General features: G+C 44.2%; 2 protein-coding genes across 14 annotated transcripts in view, besides 3 other annotated features; one reads left to right on the top strand and one right to left on the bottom strand.

Moving 5' to 3' along the window:
* The window catches only part of EXD1 (exonuclease 3'-5' domain containing 1), a 48,030-nt gene extending 35,334 nt beyond the window's left edge, over nt 1-12,696 (bottom strand). For 2 of the 11 annotated variants that reach the window (NM_152596.4, XM_047432211.1), the window contains exon 1: nt 12,418-12,696. In NM_152596.4, coding sequence (NP_689809.2) covers nt 12,418-12,445 — 28 coding nt within the window. In that variant the 5' untranslated portion in view covers nt 12,446-12,696. Of the gene's footprint in view, nt 1-1,397; nt 1,574-1,768; nt 1,840-8,381; nt 8,568-12,417 lie in introns of those variants that run through there. The other 9 variants (XM_011521298.3, XM_011521301.3, NM_001286441.2 and 6 more) reach the window with 9 other exon arrangements.
* Nucleotides 12,721-12,780: a silencer, noted in NCBI's record as "silent region_6356". NCBI's record gives its function as "represses an Ori minimal core promoter by ATAC-STARR-seq in GM12878 lymphoblastoid cells {active_cell/tissue: GM12878}" and the evidence as "EXISTENCE:reporter gene assay evidence [ECO:0000049][PMID:35858748]".
* Nucleotides 12,901-12,970: an enhancer, noted in NCBI's record as "active region_9277". NCBI's record gives its function as "activates an Ori minimal core promoter by ATAC-STARR-seq in GM12878 lymphoblastoid cells {active_cell/tissue: GM12878}" and the evidence as "EXISTENCE:reporter gene assay evidence [ECO:0000049][PMID:35858748]".
* Nucleotides 12,991-13,050: an enhancer, noted in NCBI's record as "active region_9278". NCBI's record gives its function as "activates an Ori minimal core promoter by ATAC-STARR-seq in GM12878 lymphoblastoid cells {active_cell/tissue: GM12878}" and the evidence as "EXISTENCE:reporter gene assay evidence [ECO:0000049][PMID:35858748]".
* The window catches only part of CHP1 (calcineurin like EF-hand protein 1), a 50,620-nt gene continuing 45,742 nt past the window's right edge, over nt 13,207-18,084 (top strand). For all 3 annotated transcript variants that reach the window (NM_007236.5, XM_047432125.1, XM_017021879.3), the window contains exon 1: nt 13,207-13,388. In NM_007236.5, the coding sequence (NP_009167.1) occupies nt 13,322-13,388 (67 nt within the window). In that variant the 5' untranslated portion in view covers nt 13,207-13,321. The remainder of the gene's footprint in view (nt 13,389-18,084) is intronic.

Raw genomic sequence — 18,084 nt, forward strand, 5'->3', positions numbered from 1 at the left:
AGCTTAAAAATTATGAGCAAAGCCTATAATCCCAGCACTCTGGGAAGCTGAGGCAGGCAGATCACCTGAGGTCAGGAGTTCGAGACCAGCCTGGCCAACATGGCGAAACCCTGTGTCTCTACTAAAAAAATACAACAATTGGGCTGGGTGCAGTGGCTCACGCCTGTAATCCCAGCACTTTGGGAGGGTGAGGGGGGTGAATCATTTGAGGTCAGGAGTTTGAGACCAACCTAGACAACATGGTGAAACCCCGTTTCTACTAAAAATACAAAAAAATTAGCTGGGTGTGGTGGCACACACCTGTAATCCCAGCTCCTGGGGAGGATGATGCAGGAGAATTGCTTGAAACCCAGAGGCAAAGGTTGCAGTGAGACAAGATCATACCACTGCACTCCAGCCTTAGCGACAAAGTAAGAATCCGTCTCAAAAAAAAAAAAAAAAAAAGTATGAACGAAGGCCAAACCCTGGAGAAGAATTTAGGAGGCAATGAATTCCGTGCATACAGATCACAAAGCCGGTCAGCCATCAGCCTCCTGAGTTGGGGAGGTGATAGCAGTGATTCCTTCACTTCTCTCTACAAACCCATTCACAGCCTAGCTTTCTCCAATCCAGAGCTCTGTTTCACTTCAAAGGCTGATAGTGAAAACACAATTAAGAACTCCAACTACCACTACTATCCCTGCCATTATAAAAGAATATTCAAGGGACAGAGTGTTCATGACAGCATACTCAATGAGAAAGAAATATGTAGCTGTCCAGACTTGTATTCCCTGAAGTGGCTCTGGATTGGCAGTCATTAATTTGGTAAGATTTTCATTTCCTCCTAAACGCTTGTTTTCTCACAAACCAAAGCAATCTTTCAAGCAGTAGTAAACTCTCATTTACAGGAGTCCTTTCCTTTCTTCAGATCTGCCCCAGAGTGAGAGATGCACAGTCCTAAGAGGTCCCAGAGCTCTCATTCCTCCACCCCTTCTATCCAGCTCCTGATCTGTACTCCTCCTTAAAGGGCAGAAGCAGAAACCTCCTGAGTCCTTGAAAGCAAGAACATTTCTTGCTTTCTCTTATCCTACTTGACATGTATGAAGCACACTGATGAGCTTCTACAGCTACTCTTTCAGGCAAACAATTGTACTTACTCTTGCTAAATGGTTTGTGCTAGCAAAAATAAAGAATAAGGCTGCTTCCTGCCATTCCAAAATCCGAAAATCTCTGAAAACCAAAATTTTGTTGTAACTCTTGGTGGCAAAACTTGACCAGATATGCTATTTATAGTCCGATTTTATTCCACTTAGTATGACTGTCCACCCATTTCTCTGGAGAAATGTGTTGTATTATATAGAGGACTGCCCAGACTTTCTGGAGGTGTTATGTAATATGAACACTATATACTCCGTTACCTTTTCCAAAATTCCAGAAAAATTCTTGATTCTGAGACATTTGGCCCCAAGGTTTTGGATGAGGAATTGTGAATGGACTGTGAATTTTAAGTAGCTTGCTTAGCAAGACAATCCCTTCCTGTTCACATTCCTAACTGCCTGCTGGTCCGAGTCCGTAGTGATAAGCACCAGCACACCTGACATTATAAAACCAAAATGATTATAATTCTATAAGACTATTTTACTCATAGAGTACCCACAGAAGCAGTAAGAAGGATCAATTCTCAAATACCAACTTTAAGAATCCATAAGCACAACATTAAGACAAGACAATTTCAAATATTGGAATGAAATCTCAGTACTAGCATTTTCAAGGAACATGGGGGTCTCACCATTCACAATCTCATGCCCAAAAAACAACTTCACTCCTGGGACACTTCGACCTGTCTCCACATTCTTCACTGTTACAGAAAACAATTCATTCAGTTAATTAAAATATTTTCCTAAAACTCTAAGAAAATATGATGCCTCTCAAAATTTCCCAAGTCTGAGTTGTATTTAAAAAAAAAAAAACTCCAAAAAAATATCCAAATCTTCCCCCAAGGAATGAAGAGTCAATAATAAATGACAAAGCTACGACCTTTAAACAAGTAGTATAAAAAAACAAGGGAAACCCCATTAAGGTCCAGGAGAAACTAAAAAGGATAGTACACTGAATTTAAAATTCTCCTGAGAATATTCTAAGGCCTTTGGGGTTAAGAACTATCTATTAATTATATTTCTATTTATTTTTACTCCACTTAACTCCAGAAAAAAAATTTAAGGGCAGCCTGCAACTTTTTTTTTTTTTTGAGATGGAGTCTCGTTCTGTCACGTAGGCTGCAGTGCAGTAGCGCAATCTCGGCTCACTGCAACTTCCGCTTCCCAGGTTCAAGCAATTCTCCTGCCTCAGCCTCCCGAGTAGCTCGGACTACAGGCACGAGCCACCACGTTTTATATTTTAGTAGAGACGGGGTTTCACCGTGTTAGCCAGGATTGGCTCGATCTCCTGACCTTGTGATCCGCTTGCCTCAGCCTCCCAAAGTGCTGGGATTACAGGTGTGAGCCACCGCACCCGGCCAAGGCAGCCCACAACTTCTAGTGTCCACACCCTGCTTCATGTTATGCTACACACTCAAAAGTACTATCAAGGACAACGATCCAAATCCTGGCTCTCCTATGAGGAGATAAGGAAGTTAGGAGAAGGTTAGATGCCATGTCCACAATGTGCTGTCATTTTCCTAGATGGAAGTGTTCATAGCAGCTGTCTTTTTCCACACCTCTCAGCAGTCCAAATAATTGAGTTCCACCCTCACTATTCCACTGAATATATTCCTACTAGGATCAAAGATCACCAACAACTTATTTGTCACATCCAAAAAAATGTTTTGCAACCTTATCTTCCTTGACTTTCCTGCAACCTTCGACAATACTGTTCTCTCATTTCTTTTTAACTCCTGGCCTCAAGTGATCCTCCCACCTCAGCCTCCCAAAGTACTGGGATTACAGGTGTAAGCCACCGTGCCCAGCCTCCTCTTCTTTCTTCTTTAGTTACAGGACATCATGTTTAGTTCTTTTCCTATTAACTACCTAGAGCTACCATATTGAGTACCCACTCTGAGCCAGGCATCATGCTATTTCCCTATACTCAAATTTCCAGTAACATAATAAGTATTTTATTATCTCAATTATGGAGGACTCTGAGGCTCAGAAAGTTTGAATAACTAGATCAAGTTTCCACTGCCAGCAAAAAACAGTCAGGATTTAAATTCAGGCCTCAGTGATTTTAATATGCTTTTTTATTTTTTTAATTGAGATAGGGTCTTACTCTGTTGCACAGGCTAGAGTGCAGTGGCACAATCCTAGCTCACTGCAGCCTTGAACACCTGGGTTTAAGCAATCCTCCTGCCTTAGCCTTCCAAGTGGTTGGGACTGCAGGCTTGTGCCAGCATGCCTGGCTATTTTTCTTTTTTTTTTGGTAGAGACTGGGTCTCACTATGTTGCCCAGGCTGGTCTCGAACTCCTGGGCTCAAGCCATCCTTCCACCTCAGCCTCCCAAAAGTCGTGGGATTACAGGTGTGAGCCACCCTGCCTGGCAATACATTTTCTTATAACTGCTGTTACAGTGGCTCCCTGATTTGCTCCTTCCAGTCTCCCTAGCTGTCTCTACACTTCTGCTTGCCCCTCATACATTGATGGTCCCCAGAGTTTTGTCCCTCATCCTTTTTCCTTCTCTTTGAATGATCATACCCACTTCTTAGTTGTCCTGACATTCATTTTTTCTCCAGCATGGACTATTCTTCTCAGCTCCCCTCATATTTTCAACTAAGAACAGACTTACTAAGGCCAAGCGCGGTGGTTCACGCCTGTAATTCCAGCACTTGAGAGGCTGAGGCGGGTGGATCATGAGGTCAGGAGTTCAAGACCAGCCTGGCCAAGAGCATGAAACCCTGTCTCTACTAAAACATCAAAAATTAGCCAGGCGCGGTGGCAGGTGCCTGTAATCCCAACTACGTGGGAGGCTGAGGTAGAAGAATTGCTTGAACCCAGGCGTCAGAGGTTCCAGTGAGCCAAGATCACGCCACTACACTCCAGACTGGGCGACAGAGTGAGACTCCGTCTCGGAAAAAAAAACAAAAAAAGAATTTTCAAACGGGGCCAGGCACGGTGGCTCATGCCTGTAATCCCAGCATTTTGGGAGGCCGAGGCAGGCAGATCACCTGAGGTCAGGAGTTCAAGACCAGCCTGGTCAACATGGTGAAACCCCATCTCTACTAAAAAATACAAAAATTAGCTGGGTGCGGTGGCATGCACCTGTAATCCCAGCTGTTCAGAGGCCAAGGCCGGAGAATCACTTCAACCTGGGAGGCGGAGGTTGCAGTGAGTCGAGATCCCTCCCAAAGTGCTGAGATTATAGGCATGAGCCACAGCGCCCAGCCGCTTTCCCATTGTTAACTCCTACTCAACCAGATGGAGTTCCATCACCAATTCCTCCTTTAGGAGATCACTCCACTTTCCTAATTCAAGCACTTCTAGGTACGAATTAGTTGAATCTTTTATGTTTTTATAGCATCCTTTGCATCTTTCTATCAGAGAGGATCTCACACTCCATTATACCTGTCTACCTATTTGTCTATTTATTATAGTAAGTTTTTATTTAAATTTTTTTTTTTTTTTTTTTGCTGGACGCGGTGACTCACGGCTATAATCTCAGCACTTTGGGAGGCTGAGGCGGAAGGATCACAAGGTCAAGAGATTGAGACCATCCTGGCCAACATGGTGAAACCCTGTCTCTAATAAAATACAAAAATTAGCTGGGTGTGGTGGCACACGCCTGTAGTCCCAGCTACTCGGGAGGCTGAGGCAGGAGAATTGCTTGAACTCGGGAGGCAGAGGTTCCAGTGAATCAAGATTGAGCCACTGCACTCCAGCGTGAGGACAGACTGAGACTCTGTCTCAAAAAAAAAAAAAAAAAAAAAAAAATTTTTTTTAGAGGTGGGGTCTTGTGCTGTTGCCCAGGCTGGAGTGCAGGAGCACAATCATAGCTCACTGCAGCCTCGAACTCCTGGGCTTAAGTGATCCACCCACTACAGCCTCCGAATAGCTGAGACTACAGGTGTGAGCCACCACGACTGGCTAATTAAAAATAAAATTGTTTTTTAGGCTGGATGTGGTGGCTCACACTTCTAATTCCAGCACTTTGGAGGCTGAGTGGGAGAACTGCTTGAGCCCAGGAGTTCAAGACCAGCCTGAGCAACACAGGGAGACCCCATCTCTACAAAATATTTAAAAAATTAGCTGGTCTTGGTGGCACATGCCTGTAGTCCCAGCTATTTGGGAGGCTGAAGCAGGAAAATCACTTGTGCCCAGGAGGTCAAGGTTGCAATGAGCCATGATAGTCCCACTGCACTCCAGGCTGAATGACAGAGCAAGACTCTGTGTCAAAAAAAATTTTTTTTCGGGGCTGGGTGTGGTGGCTCATGCCTATAATCCCAGCACTTTGGGAGGCTGAGGTGGGAGGATCACTTGAGCCCAGAAGCTGGAGACAAGCCCAGGCAACATAGTGAGACCCCATCTCAATTTTAAAAAAATAAGAAAAAATAGGCCTGGCACATTGGCTCATGTCTGTAATCCCAGCACTTTGGGAGGCCGAGGCAGGAGGATCACGAGGTCAGGAGTTCAAGACCACCCTGGCCAACATAGTGAAACCACGTCTCTACTAAAAATACAAAAGAAAAATCAGCCGGGCGTGGTGGCGGGCGCCTGTAGTCCCAGCTACTTGGGAGTCTGAGGCAGGAGAATGGCTTGAACCCGGGAGGCAAAGGTTCCAGTGAGCCAAGATTGCACCACTGCACTCCAGCCTGGGTGACACAGCGAGACTCTGTTTCAAAAAAAAAGAAAAAATTAATTAATTAAAAATAATTTTTCTACAGATGTGGTTTTGCTATGCTGCCTCGGCTGGCCTTAAACTCCTGGCCTCAAGCAATACTGCCTTACCCTCCCAGGTAGCTGGGACTATAGGTTAGACTAAGTTCTCACTGCAACCTCCGCCTCCCAGGTTCAAGCCATTCTCCTGCCTCAGTCTCCCAAGTAGCTGGGATTACAGGTGCCCGCCACCATGCCCGGCTAATTTTGTATTTTTAGTAGAGACAGGGTTTACCATGTTGCCCAGGCTGGTTTCAAACTCCTGACCTCAGGTGATCCACCAGCCTCAGCCTCCTAAAGTGCTGGGATTACAGGCGTGAGCCACTGCGCCCAGCCCCTAGACTAAGTTTTTTGAGAACAGGAACCACCTTATTTCTGTATGTGTCCGTGGTACCAAGCGTAGTTCCTGAGATATAAAACAATCAATACATGATTACTAAATGAATTAATGTTGCAGAAACCTGTTACAATCCCATCCTAGCCCATAAAAGTCTGTTTTAACTCAAAATTTGGTTTCATAACATTAATCTCTCAAATGCCATTTATACATGTTTCAATGATGAACTTGAAACTTATCATGCCAGGAAACTCTATATATTGAAGCTTCCAGATTGGCAGATATGGAGGTACTGGCAGGGTAGCACAACCAAAGATGACATGGAAATTCTGTTTCCCTTCCCCCATAAAAAAAAGAAACATTAAATCAGAAAAAAAATATTAACACGAAGCTATTTCATTGGATGCAGCTGCAAGTTGTAAGATTTAAGGTTGTCCTGGCTGGGCATGGTGGCTCACACCTATAAACCTAGCATTTTGGGAGGCCAAGTAGGATCACTTAAGCCCTGGAATTTAAGACCAGCCTGGGCAACACAGGGAGACCCCATTTCTACAAAAAAATAAAGATTAAAAAAACTAGCCAGGTGAGGTGTTACATAAGTGTAGTCCCAGCTACTCAGGAGGCTGAGGTGGGAGGATCACTTGACCCTGGGAAGTTAAGGCTGCAGCGAGCCGTGATCACACCATACCATTGCAATCCAGCCTGGATAACAGAGCATGACTTTGTCTTAAAAAAAAAAGGATAGCCCTATGTTTCTTTTGCATTTGCCTGTTCTTGAGCTTTATCCTTTATGATAACTGGAATTGAAGCTGAGAGTTGTAGAGGCTACCTGGTGACCATGAGGATAACAGATGATCACTGACATGGCAGAGCAGGGGCAAAAGGCACCTGGTTCCTGCTGGTGTCTTTCAGCCATTGCACTGTTCTTCAGCTGCCTACCTCTTTACTTTTTGTAAGAAAAAATTTAACCCCTTACTGTATGAACTCAACTGCTGAAGTCAAAAACAATTCTAACTAATGTGGTGGTTATTTTTAATTTCAAATGCATATGGAAAGAAATTAAAGGGCCAGCATAGTGGCTCAAGCCTGTAATCCCAGCACTTTGGGAGGCCAAGGTGGGCGGATCAACTGAAGTCAGGACTTTGAGACCGGCCTGGCCAACACAGTGAAACTCTGCCACTACTAAAAATACAAAAATTAGCCAGACTTGGTGATGGGTGCCTGTAACCCCAGCTACTTGGGAGGCTGAGGCAGGAGACTTGCTTGAACCTGGGAGGCAGAGGTTGCAGTGAGCCAAGATCGCGCCACTGCACTCTAGCCTGGGCAACAAGAACGAGACTCATTCTCAGAAAAAAAAAAAAAGGCCGGGAGCGGTGGCTCATGCCTATAATCCCAGCACTTTGGGGGACCGAGGTGGGTGGATCACCTGAGGTCCGGAGTTTGAGACCAGCCTGGCCAACAGGCTGTGTTTTTGTATTTTTTGTACTAAAAATACAAAAATTAGATAGGCATGGTGGTGTGTGCCCGTAATTCCAGCCACTCGGGAGGCTGAGGCAGGAGAATCACTTGAACTTGGGAGGCGGAGGTTGCGGTGAGCTATCACGCCACTGCACTCCAGCCTGGGGGATGGAGCAAGACAACATCTCAAAAAACAAAACAAAACAAAACAAAACAAAAAAAACCTTTTTATATTGAAAATTCCTGCTATCATATCAAAAGCAGGGACACACCAGGCTCGGCATGGTGGCTCACACCTGTAATCGCAGAACTTTGGGAGGCCAAGGCAGGCGGATCACGAGGTCAGGAGATCGAGACCATCCTGGCTAACACGGTGAAACCCTGTCTCTACTAAAAATACAAAAAATTTGCTGGGAGTGGTGGCGGGTGTCTGTAGTCCCAGCTACTCGGGAGGCTGAGGCAGGAGAATGGTGTGAACCCGGGAGGCAGAGCTTGCAGTGAGCCATGATCACGCCACTGCACTCCAGCCTGGGCAACAGAGCGAGACTCCATCTCAAAAAAAAAAAGTAGGGACAAACCAGCATATTCAGTCACATTGTTCTGTTTGGGAAAACAATATTCTAACCTTCCTCCCACACTTTACCTAAAATAGGAATAATGCCACCCTCCCAATCACTAATGGAGCCCACTGAAAGTCAATCACTAATCTCTTAAAAGGCAGAACATTATAAGAAATAGAACAAGACCTTTCTTCAGGACAACAATCTTATTAGGGTCAACATGCTGAAGCACACCCTCGAAGACACCACAGACCAATGTGAGTTTCACCCTCTTCCACAAAATCTGGCTGAGGAAATGGTAGTCACTGCTGGGGTCCATGCTAATTGATTCCAAAAGCCGTCTTCAAATAATCTTCTTTAAGCATCCAAACACTTGAAAATTAATAAAGAGATCTATGAATTTTAAAAGATTTTTTGGGAGTAAAGTTATTTTCCCTTTCCCCATATCTGTAATGGACAAGAATAAAATCTGAATAATTCAGTTTTGTTCATCTTTTTGGAATGATGAGAAAAGGATCATTGCAAGCACCAACTCTCATACATAGGAAACTGAAAACTATAAGAAATTGGGCAAGTTAGGCTTGGCTTCTTTGTTTATAAAATGGGCATGATATCATCTTTCCTTCCTTAGCTAAATGGAAGAAGCAGAACATTTAGAGGCTTTTTAATGGCACATTTATACATCATTATAACAAAAAAATGAAAAGAGCAAATGAAAAAAATTGACATACATAGAAATATTTGCCAATACATGTTGCAATAAATTGTTTAGGGCAGCATAACTACCTGAGCTGCTATTTTTTATAACTCTGGTTGAGAATTTAAGGGCATGGTAATTTTTGCTAAAACTGAAGCTGATAATTTTAAGTAAAGCAACTAAATTTACCCTTTACTTAGGAATTAAAGGAAATCAAGGCAAGTAGGACAATAGTGGTACATTGGGAAAAGAACTTTTCTTTCAACTTGTGTTTAATGAATTGAATTTTAGAGACAGTTTCCCATAACTTGGGTCTATGCTATCCTATTAATTTTTATGTCTAGGTACTTGAAATGTTCCATTTCTGTGTATTTTTTTATTTTCTGTCCTATGACAGTTCTACGCTAAAGGTATTTTAAAATAAAAGCCAAATTGGCCGGGCGCAGTGGCTCATGCCTGTAATCCCACCACTTTGGGAGGCCGAGGTGGGCAGATAATCTGAGGTCGGGAGTTCCAGACCAGCCTGACCAACATGGAGAAACCCTGTCTTTACTAAAAATACAAAATTAGCCGGGTGTGGTGGCGTATGCCTGTAATCCCAGCTATTCAGGAAGGCTGAGGCAGGAGAATCACTTGAACCCGGGAGGCAGAGGTTGCAGTGAGCCGAGATTTAGAGATCGCGCCACTGTACTCCAGCCTGTGCGACAGAGCAACACTGTCTCAAAAAAAAAAAAAAAAAGAATTACAACCATATAGAAATGTACAAAGTAAAGAAAAAATGTACTAAGAAATATTATTCATAGTGGGTACTCACCACTGGGTGCAGTGGCTTATGCCAGTAATCCTAGCACTTTAGGAGGCCAAGACAGGCAGATCACCTGAGGTCAGGAGTTCGAGACCAGCCTGACCAACATGGTGAAACCCCGTCTCTACTAAAAACACAAAAATTAGCCAGCTGTAGTGACGCACACCTGTAATCCTAGCTACTCAGGAGGCTGAGGCAGGAGAATCACTTGAACCCAGGAGGTGGAGGTTGCAGTGAGCCAAGATCGCGCCATTGCACTCCAGCCTGGGAGACAAGAGTGAAACTCTGTCTCAAAAAACAAAACAAAACAAAAGAAGGCGGTACTCTTACATTCTTTACCATAATACAGTAATTTTTTAAAAGTTAATTTAGAACTATTCTGTTATTTAGATGTCCTTGTATTTAGAAACTTAGATAAGTATTCTTCTATAGTTTTTTAAATTTAAAAGCTGTATACTTTTGCCACACTAGGAAAATTCAACCAGTGAATTTTGCAATTTAACCATAAAAACATTGATGAAATAACTAGAGCCTAAGTCAACTAGGAAGAAGGTGAGATGTTACATACAATTTTCGGTCAAATAAATAACCTATATTTTTACATTTTAAGGTCTATCAAGTGCTTATACAAATATTACTTGATATAACAACCATAACCTAATTTACAAATGAAGAAACTGAAGTTTAGAAGGTTAAGACACCTGCCCAAAGTCACACAGCTAGAAGGTAATGCAATCTGAACTAAGACCAGGCCTCTAGGGTAGGATGTTTGTAGTTTAGTGCAAGACCAAGTCTTATGCATCCAAACAGAACATAAAACAAGTCATCAGAGAGTCTAAGAAAAACCATTCTTTAAGTTAATCCAACAGGCAAAAGGAGAATTTTTAAAGAAAAATACATAAAACTGGAAAAAGAAAACAGCCCTTAATAGAGGCAAACATTATTTTTATTTTATTTTTGAGATGGAGTCTCACTCTGTCGCCAGGCTGGAGTGCAGTACCGCTATCTTGGCTCACTGCAACCTCTGCCTCCCGGGTTCAAGCAATTTATACTTTTAAAAGGTACCCAAGAAAGGAAAGTTTGTGAAACACCTGGAAAATAAGAGAATTAGAGAAACATTAAAGAAAAAAAAATTAAAGTCAGAAAAAAATACTAACATGAAGCAAAGAAAGCTTTGACTGGAGACAGCTGCAAACACTAAGATTCAAGATTAGGAAGGAAAAAAGTAAGGTCAGCATCAAGAGATGGGCTTCAAGGCTGACTGAGAAAAGGGACATTCATGGGGCTGACAAAATTTTCCTATCACAGCCATATTCCAACATACAAAGCAGCTCCAGTGATTTAGCTCTTAGACGGGCATATCCAAAATGTTACTGAGTACAAAGGACAACATCACTAGGTTAGACAAGTGCACGACAATCATAAAAATAACTCTAAGGCCGGGCACGGGGACTCACGCCTGTAATCCCAACACTTTGGGAGGCCGAGGCGGGTGGATCACCTGAGTTCTGGAGTTTGAGACCCGCCTAGACAATATGGTGAAACCCTGTCTCTACTAAAAATACAAAAATTAGCTGGGCGTGGTGGCACGCGCCTGTAATCCCAGCTACTCAGGAGGCTGAGGCATGATAATCCCTTGAACCCGCCTGGAGGTTGCAGTGAGCCGAAAATGCACAGTGATCAGGCCATTGCACTCCAGCCCGGACTCTGTCGCAAAAAAACAAAACAAGCCAGGTGCGGTGGCTCACGCCTGTAATCACAGCACTTTGGGAGGCTGAAGCGGGCAGATCACCTGAGATACGGAGTTCGAGACCAGCCTGACCAACATGGAGAAGCCCTGTCTCTACTAAAAATACAAAATTAGCTGGACACGGTGGCGCATGCCTGTAACCCCAGCTACTAGGGAGTCTGAGGCAGGAGAATCGCTTGAACCCGGGAGGCGGAAGTTTCGGTGAGCTGAGATGGCGCCTTTGCACTTCAGCCTGGGCAGAAGAGCAAAAACTCCGTCTCAAACAACAACAACAACAACAAACAAACAAAACTCTAGTTCTTCAAACTAGAACCTCAGCTTGCAGGGAACGTGTGGGGCCTCAGGCTAAGCTGTAAAGCCTTAGGTAACACTTAAAACTAGTAACTTAAGTTGACCTGGGAAAGCCTGCTACGACAAAAATATCCTGGTACTTGGGTACTAACAGCAGTCAGAATTCGGTTCTTCCTTATCTTATACGTGTTCTAACCAAACAGGTGTGAAGGGGTAAGGCAGGTGAAGCAGTAAGAACTGGTTCACCTGAGAGTAGGCACTAATTTAACGGGTGGCTTTTACCTTTTTTTTTTTTTTTTTTTGAGACGGAGTCTTGCTCTGTCACCCAGGCTGGAGAGCAATGCCGCGATCTCGGCTCACTGCAACCTCCGCCTCCCGGGTTCAAGCGATTCTCCTGCCTCAGCCTCCCGAGTAGCTGGGATTACAGGCACGCGGCACCACACCCGGATAATTTTGTATTTTTATTAGAGATGGGGTTTCTCCATATTGGTCAGGCTGGTCTCGAACTCACGACCTCAGGTGTTCTGCCCACCTCGGCCTCCCAAAGTGCTGGGATTACAGGCGTGAGCCACCGTGCCAGGCCTACCTTTTTAATCAAAACAAACAATACACCATGAGAATAAAATGCAAAATTTCTCATTTTTAAGACAAAATAAGGAACTTCAAATAAATGGCGGACCATAAGCTAGGAATTCACTGTCCTCCATCGTTAGGGCTTTTTCCTCCGAAGGAAGTTTGGGAAATCTGGATCCTAATTTCAGCCAAGTGGTGCGTTCCTCGAACTTCAGTCTAGAACTAAAAGAAGAGGGGCTGCAATGAAGGAAGAAGTCTCGGGACGCTCCACGCCACCCGGCGGCGGTTATCAAATCACAGGCTGAAAACCTGGAGAAAGGTCCGCGACGCCGGGGACACACGCCGCAGAGGCGACGCCCGCCCGGCCCAACGTCCAGTCTCGTCTGTTTCCCGAGGAGCCAATCAGCACGCGGCCCCGAGGCCGGCTCCCCAGCGCCCCCTGCGGCCGGGAGGAGGACGGCAGCCAGGAAAGATGAAGAGCGCGTGCAGTCCCCGAAGGGTACACCCTAGGGTTCCCCCCCACGCGAAGTTTCTCTCCGCAATCCGTGCCACCTATCGAGTAGGATTCCTAGTGTTCGATTCCTGTGAGAAAAGGTAGACTACGCTGCCTGTCGCAGGTTAGTTTGTTGTAAAACTGTTGGTCAATGACGTTGCCCTTTTAATTGCGTCGTTAGCGACCGAGTGGCATCGCCCCTTTAAGGCCGGTGGCAGCTGCGGTTCCGGGGGCGGGGTCCGTCTTCAGCAGGACTTGGGCTGGAGCTGGGCTGATTCATTCGGGGCTGGAACTCGAACGCTGACGTTGGCTCCTGAGCCGGGCGCTGCCTCGCGCCTGATTGGCGGGTCCTCGGGGCCGCCCTCCCCAGCGCACCACCCCTGGGTTCCCTCCCGGGTCCGCAGTGGAAACACTGCCCTCTCCCTTCTTGACCCCTAGCCCTTCCTTCCCTCCCTCCTTCCCTCCTGTCGCCGTCTCTTCTGGCGCCGCTGCTCCCGGAGGAGCTCCCGGCACGGCGATGGGTTCTCGGGCCTCCACGTTACTGCGGGACGAAGAGCTCGAGGAGATCAAGAAGGAGACCGGCTGTGAGTTCGGGTTGGGGGTGGGAACGCCGGGCGCCTCAGGCTGGCCTCACAACCAAGGGCGGCTGTCGCTAAGGTCTGGAGCTCGGGTGCCTGTGAGGTTGGGGGGTCCTGGGCAGCCTCCAGGTTTGGGGACCGAGAGCTGGAAGACCTGTTCTTCCAGCTGCAGCTTCCTGGAGCGGGGCTCTAGCTACTGTGGGGCTGTCCTTCCCTTCAAAATCGGGACTCTTGATCACTCGTAGAGCGTCGACGCCCCCCTTTTCTGCACCCTGCCCATCAAAGTCCCCGAACTCCTTTCCTTTCTGTTGCCTCGCACCACCCTTCCCTATGAAGAGGCATCCTGAACAGTAGGTAAAGCCCGAGAAGCAAATTCAGGAACTCGAGATGGATTCTGTAGAAAATCCGTTTCTGGGTAAGGACCTAAAACCTCTGACAACTATGGGAAATTACAAACAAGTTCTTGTCACAAATTGGGAAAACCACCCAGAAAGCAAGACCGTGTAGTAAGGCTTTGGGAGACATGACCCGATGCCTGGAGACCTTTAAACAATCAGGGGTCTGGGATTGTGAGACTTCTTTCAATCTGAACTTCTAGAGAAAAAACACGGATACTGTGACCACCAGTTTTTTACTTACACGACGATACTTGCTGTCCTAATCTCATATATGTATTGATTTCTACTATGCTGGTGTACTTTTTTATTCGCTATTGAAATTGGATGTGCTCCAAAAATCTCCGTGTGAATTTGTACTAGGAACTGATTTTTTTTTTTTTTTTTTTTGAAACGGAGTCTCCCTCTGTCAACCAGGCTGGAGTGCAGTGGCGTGATCTCGGCACACTGCAACTTCCGCCTCCCAGGTTCAAGCAGTTCTCCTGCCTCAGCCTCCCAGGTAGCTGGGAGTACAGGTGCCTGCCACCACGCTTGGCTAATTTTTGTATTTTTGGTAGAGATGGGGTTTCACTATGTTGGCCCGGCTGGCCTCGAACTCCTGACCTCAAGTGATCCACCCACCTCGGCCTCCCAAAGTGCTGGGATTACAGGTGTGAGCCACCGTGCCCTGCAGAACTGATTTTTTTTTTTATAGTCCAGTCTCTTCCTCATTAGTCTGAACAAAGGAGCAAAAGGACTCGGGATTCTGAAGCGCTGTAAAATACCATCATAACTTTGAATAGTCCTTGATAATGCAATGTATGATACAATTGTATTGATGCATACAATATTTTATCTTTTCAGTAAACCTTTATGATTCTTATTGAGTTAATGAAGGATGTAGCACCTGAGCTCTGTCTCTTCATCATACTTGTCTTTGATAATGACATGACCAGTAACTCACTCCGGCCCATATGCAGATAGTACTGAGGAGTGCTATGGGGAACTACAGAATTTTTCAGGCCTGTTTAAGTGCTGTTCTCTGCTTTGTGACAAGTTCAACTTTCTGGAGTTTTCAAGTTGGAAGGGATGTTTTCTAGCCCCACCCCTTTCTGGACTGGTTTGCTTCTTTCAGCCTCCCCTAAAATATGGCCCTTAAGCCTCTCTGTAAAGACATTTAATGATGGTAACCTCTCCACCTACCAAGGCAGTCCTTTTCACGATTTGAATGACCCAAAGTAGTTAGCTCTTTATAATTTGCAGTACTTGTTTGGCCACTGACTTACTCTGACCCTCGGAGTGGAGACGCAAGCAGTTTGGATTCAACAAGCATTTTATTACGTTTTGTGGCCATAACTTCTGGCCACATTTGTAATTAGTACTACTTTAGGTCTAGGGTGACACCGAATTAAAGTATTTGTGTTAAAGAGTCACATGGAGAAATAAGCAGAATCAAAGAGAAATAAATATAGAGTCACATAATGAGAAAGTGTAAACCATAGTGAAGATGCAAAAAGCCATTTTTGCTTCAGAATGAAGGGAGCAGTAATCCCATTCTGGTTTATATACATTTGACCAAATGGAAATGACCTGGATGGGATATTTTTACCATGTGGCTTGTGGACAAACAACTAAGTGCTCATGGAAAAGCTGTTTTCCCCATTGCCAAAGAGTGAGTCACTTGTGAGGGAGATTCTCTCCACAACCAGTGCAAATGTATGTATTGAGCCAGAATGCTTAGTGAAACAAGTGCTTACTGAATTTTTACAGTGTCTGTTCAGTACTGTGCTAGGTACTCAGAGCAGATGGTGACAAAAAACGCCCCCAACCTGGTTGGGGAGATAAGCCCAAGAGAGTTATGATTAGCATCATGACATAAGAAAGCTGAGAATTGTGTGTCATCCACCTTCAGAAATCAGGCAAGAGAGAGAGTCCTTGTGGGCTGTCCTCATGGAGGACAGGAATTGGGCCTTGATACATGGGTGGAGTAGATTTGGATAGATTAACCTAGGGCATTTTGGGTGACTTCCAGGAGAGATCTCCCCCTAAGCCTGCTACAAAGTCATTCCTTTGCCCTGGGAACCATCAGTTTATCCAAATAGTGTCCATCATCAGAGTTGTTTTTTCTTTTTCTTTTTCTTTATTTTAGAGACAGGGTCTTTGCTCTGTCTCCCAGGCCGGACTGCAGTGGCTTGAGCATAGCTCACTGCAAGCCTTAAACTCCTGGGCTTAAGCCATCCTCCCGCTTCAGCGTCCCAAGTAGCTAGGACTACAGGCGCATACCACCATGCTTACCTGATTTTTATTTTTATCTTTTGTAGAGATGGAGTCTTGTTATTTTGTCGAGGCTGGTCATAAACTCCTGGCCTCAAGTGATTCTTAGGCCACTTCAACCTCCCAAAGCACGGGGATTACAGGTGTGAGCCACTGCGCCAAGCCCAGAGTTGTTTTTTCAAGGAGTAATTTGGTATGATGCAAAAGATTTTGAAGAATAAAAACGGATATCTGGAGTGGGTAGAGAGGTGGAATTTGTCCCATTTTCATCTGCCTTTTCTTCTATGAAGAATTTGGAAAACTATCTATCAGAAGCACTTTAAGAACAATTATAAGACATTTTACTACTTCCTTTGCCAGTACAAAATGTAACATAATTGAGGAATACTAAATTTATATTCAGTGCAAAAGCTGTGCATTGGAATTTGATGATTATATTTAACCATATTTTTTGCAAATTTAAAAAGATTAGAATTTCTACATGACTAGATTAGCTGGTATTTGATATTTAATGAATAACAGTAAGTGTTTGGAAAAGTAATTCTGGATAAGAATTACCTGTGATCCTCAGTTTCATCATCTGTAAAATTAGAATAATAATAGTGCCTACTTTATAGGATTCTTACGACAATTACATGAGATGAATTATGCAAACTACTTAGAATAGTGTCTGGTATAATAAACTTCATGTGAGTGTTATTATTTTGAACCATAGTTAACAATCGTCTTATTGGGAAAATACCATTTGCATGTACTAGTTATAAAAACTATGTGTAGGGCTATATCATTGGGGAGGTGACAGCATTTTATACTTCTTTTTGTAGTGGACAGTTGATTAGGAATTAAGTACAGATGTTTTGCCAATTATAAGGAAATAAAATTTTTAAAGGAGTTTTTAACAGTTTATGAAACTGTTATGATGTTTTAACAGGAATTGTCTAAGAAATGCTTTCTATTGGCATATTTGCTAAATTATCTTTGTTCTACTACCTTCTTTCAGACTTCTGCATTTTCATAAAGCTTATTTGAAAAAAAGGTGTAATCGGGGATAAAGCCACAAATGTCTTAGGAGTTTCTGTAATCATCACCCTTAATTCACTTAATTGTAGCAATAAGCTGGCTGTGAATTACTTAAAACTTTATGAGGCCAGGCGCAGTGGCTCACACCTGTAGTTCCAGCACTTTGGGAGGCCAAGGTGGCAGATCGCTTGAGCCCAGGAGTTCAAGACCAGCCTGGGCAACATAGGGAAACCCCATCTCTACAAAAAAATAAATTTAAAAAAAATTAGCTGGACATGGTGAAGCGTGCCTGCAGTCCCAGCTACTCAGGAGGCTGAGGTGGGAGGATTGCTTAGGCGGGAGGTCAAGGCTGCAGTGAGCCATGTTCGTGCCACTGCACTCTGGCCTGGGAGAAACAGACCCTGTCTCAAAAAAAAACAAAAACAAACAACAACCACAAAAACACCTTGATAAACAATTCATGCCATTCAAGTAGTAATGAATGCAGATTATTTTTAGTCTCTACCTTTTGGTATATGTCATGTGGTACGGGAAGGGTGTTGAACAGGTTTAGGAAGTAAGTTGCACAGGTTGGTAAGGTTTTGTTTGTTTGAAAGAGTGTAGTAATGATAGAGTTCTAACAGAGTACAAGCCTGGCAAAGGCAATTGCTTGAGAACAATATCATGGCTAGAATGTAAGTAGAAATTCAACTTCAGGTTTCTCGTGCCTCCAAATGTAGGACCCTTCACAGCCCTCACCAGCCTGAAGGTTCTGTCACTTCAGAAAACCAGGCTGTCTTCTGCCTCCTATTGAAATGGAAATGCATGGATAACTAACACCTTTAACTGGTTTTGGGTTAAGTGATTTGTAAAGCTCTGTACTTTTTGAGTTCTAGTGCAAAGTTTTATTCTCATTTGTTGCCATAAAGGAGTAAGAAGCAACTATTTGTCAATTAGAGAGGGCATTGTGGGAAAGAGACCCTAAGAACTTTTTTTTTTTTTTTTTGAGACAGGGTCTCACTCTGTTGCCCAGGCTGGAGTGCAGTGGTGCAATC

This window comes from Homo sapiens, chromosome 15 (genome assembly GCF_000001405.40).
Source record: "Homo sapiens chromosome 15, GRCh38.p14 Primary Assembly".
Classification (NCBI taxonomy): Eukaryota; Metazoa; Chordata; class Mammalia; order Primates; family Hominidae; genus Homo; species Homo sapiens.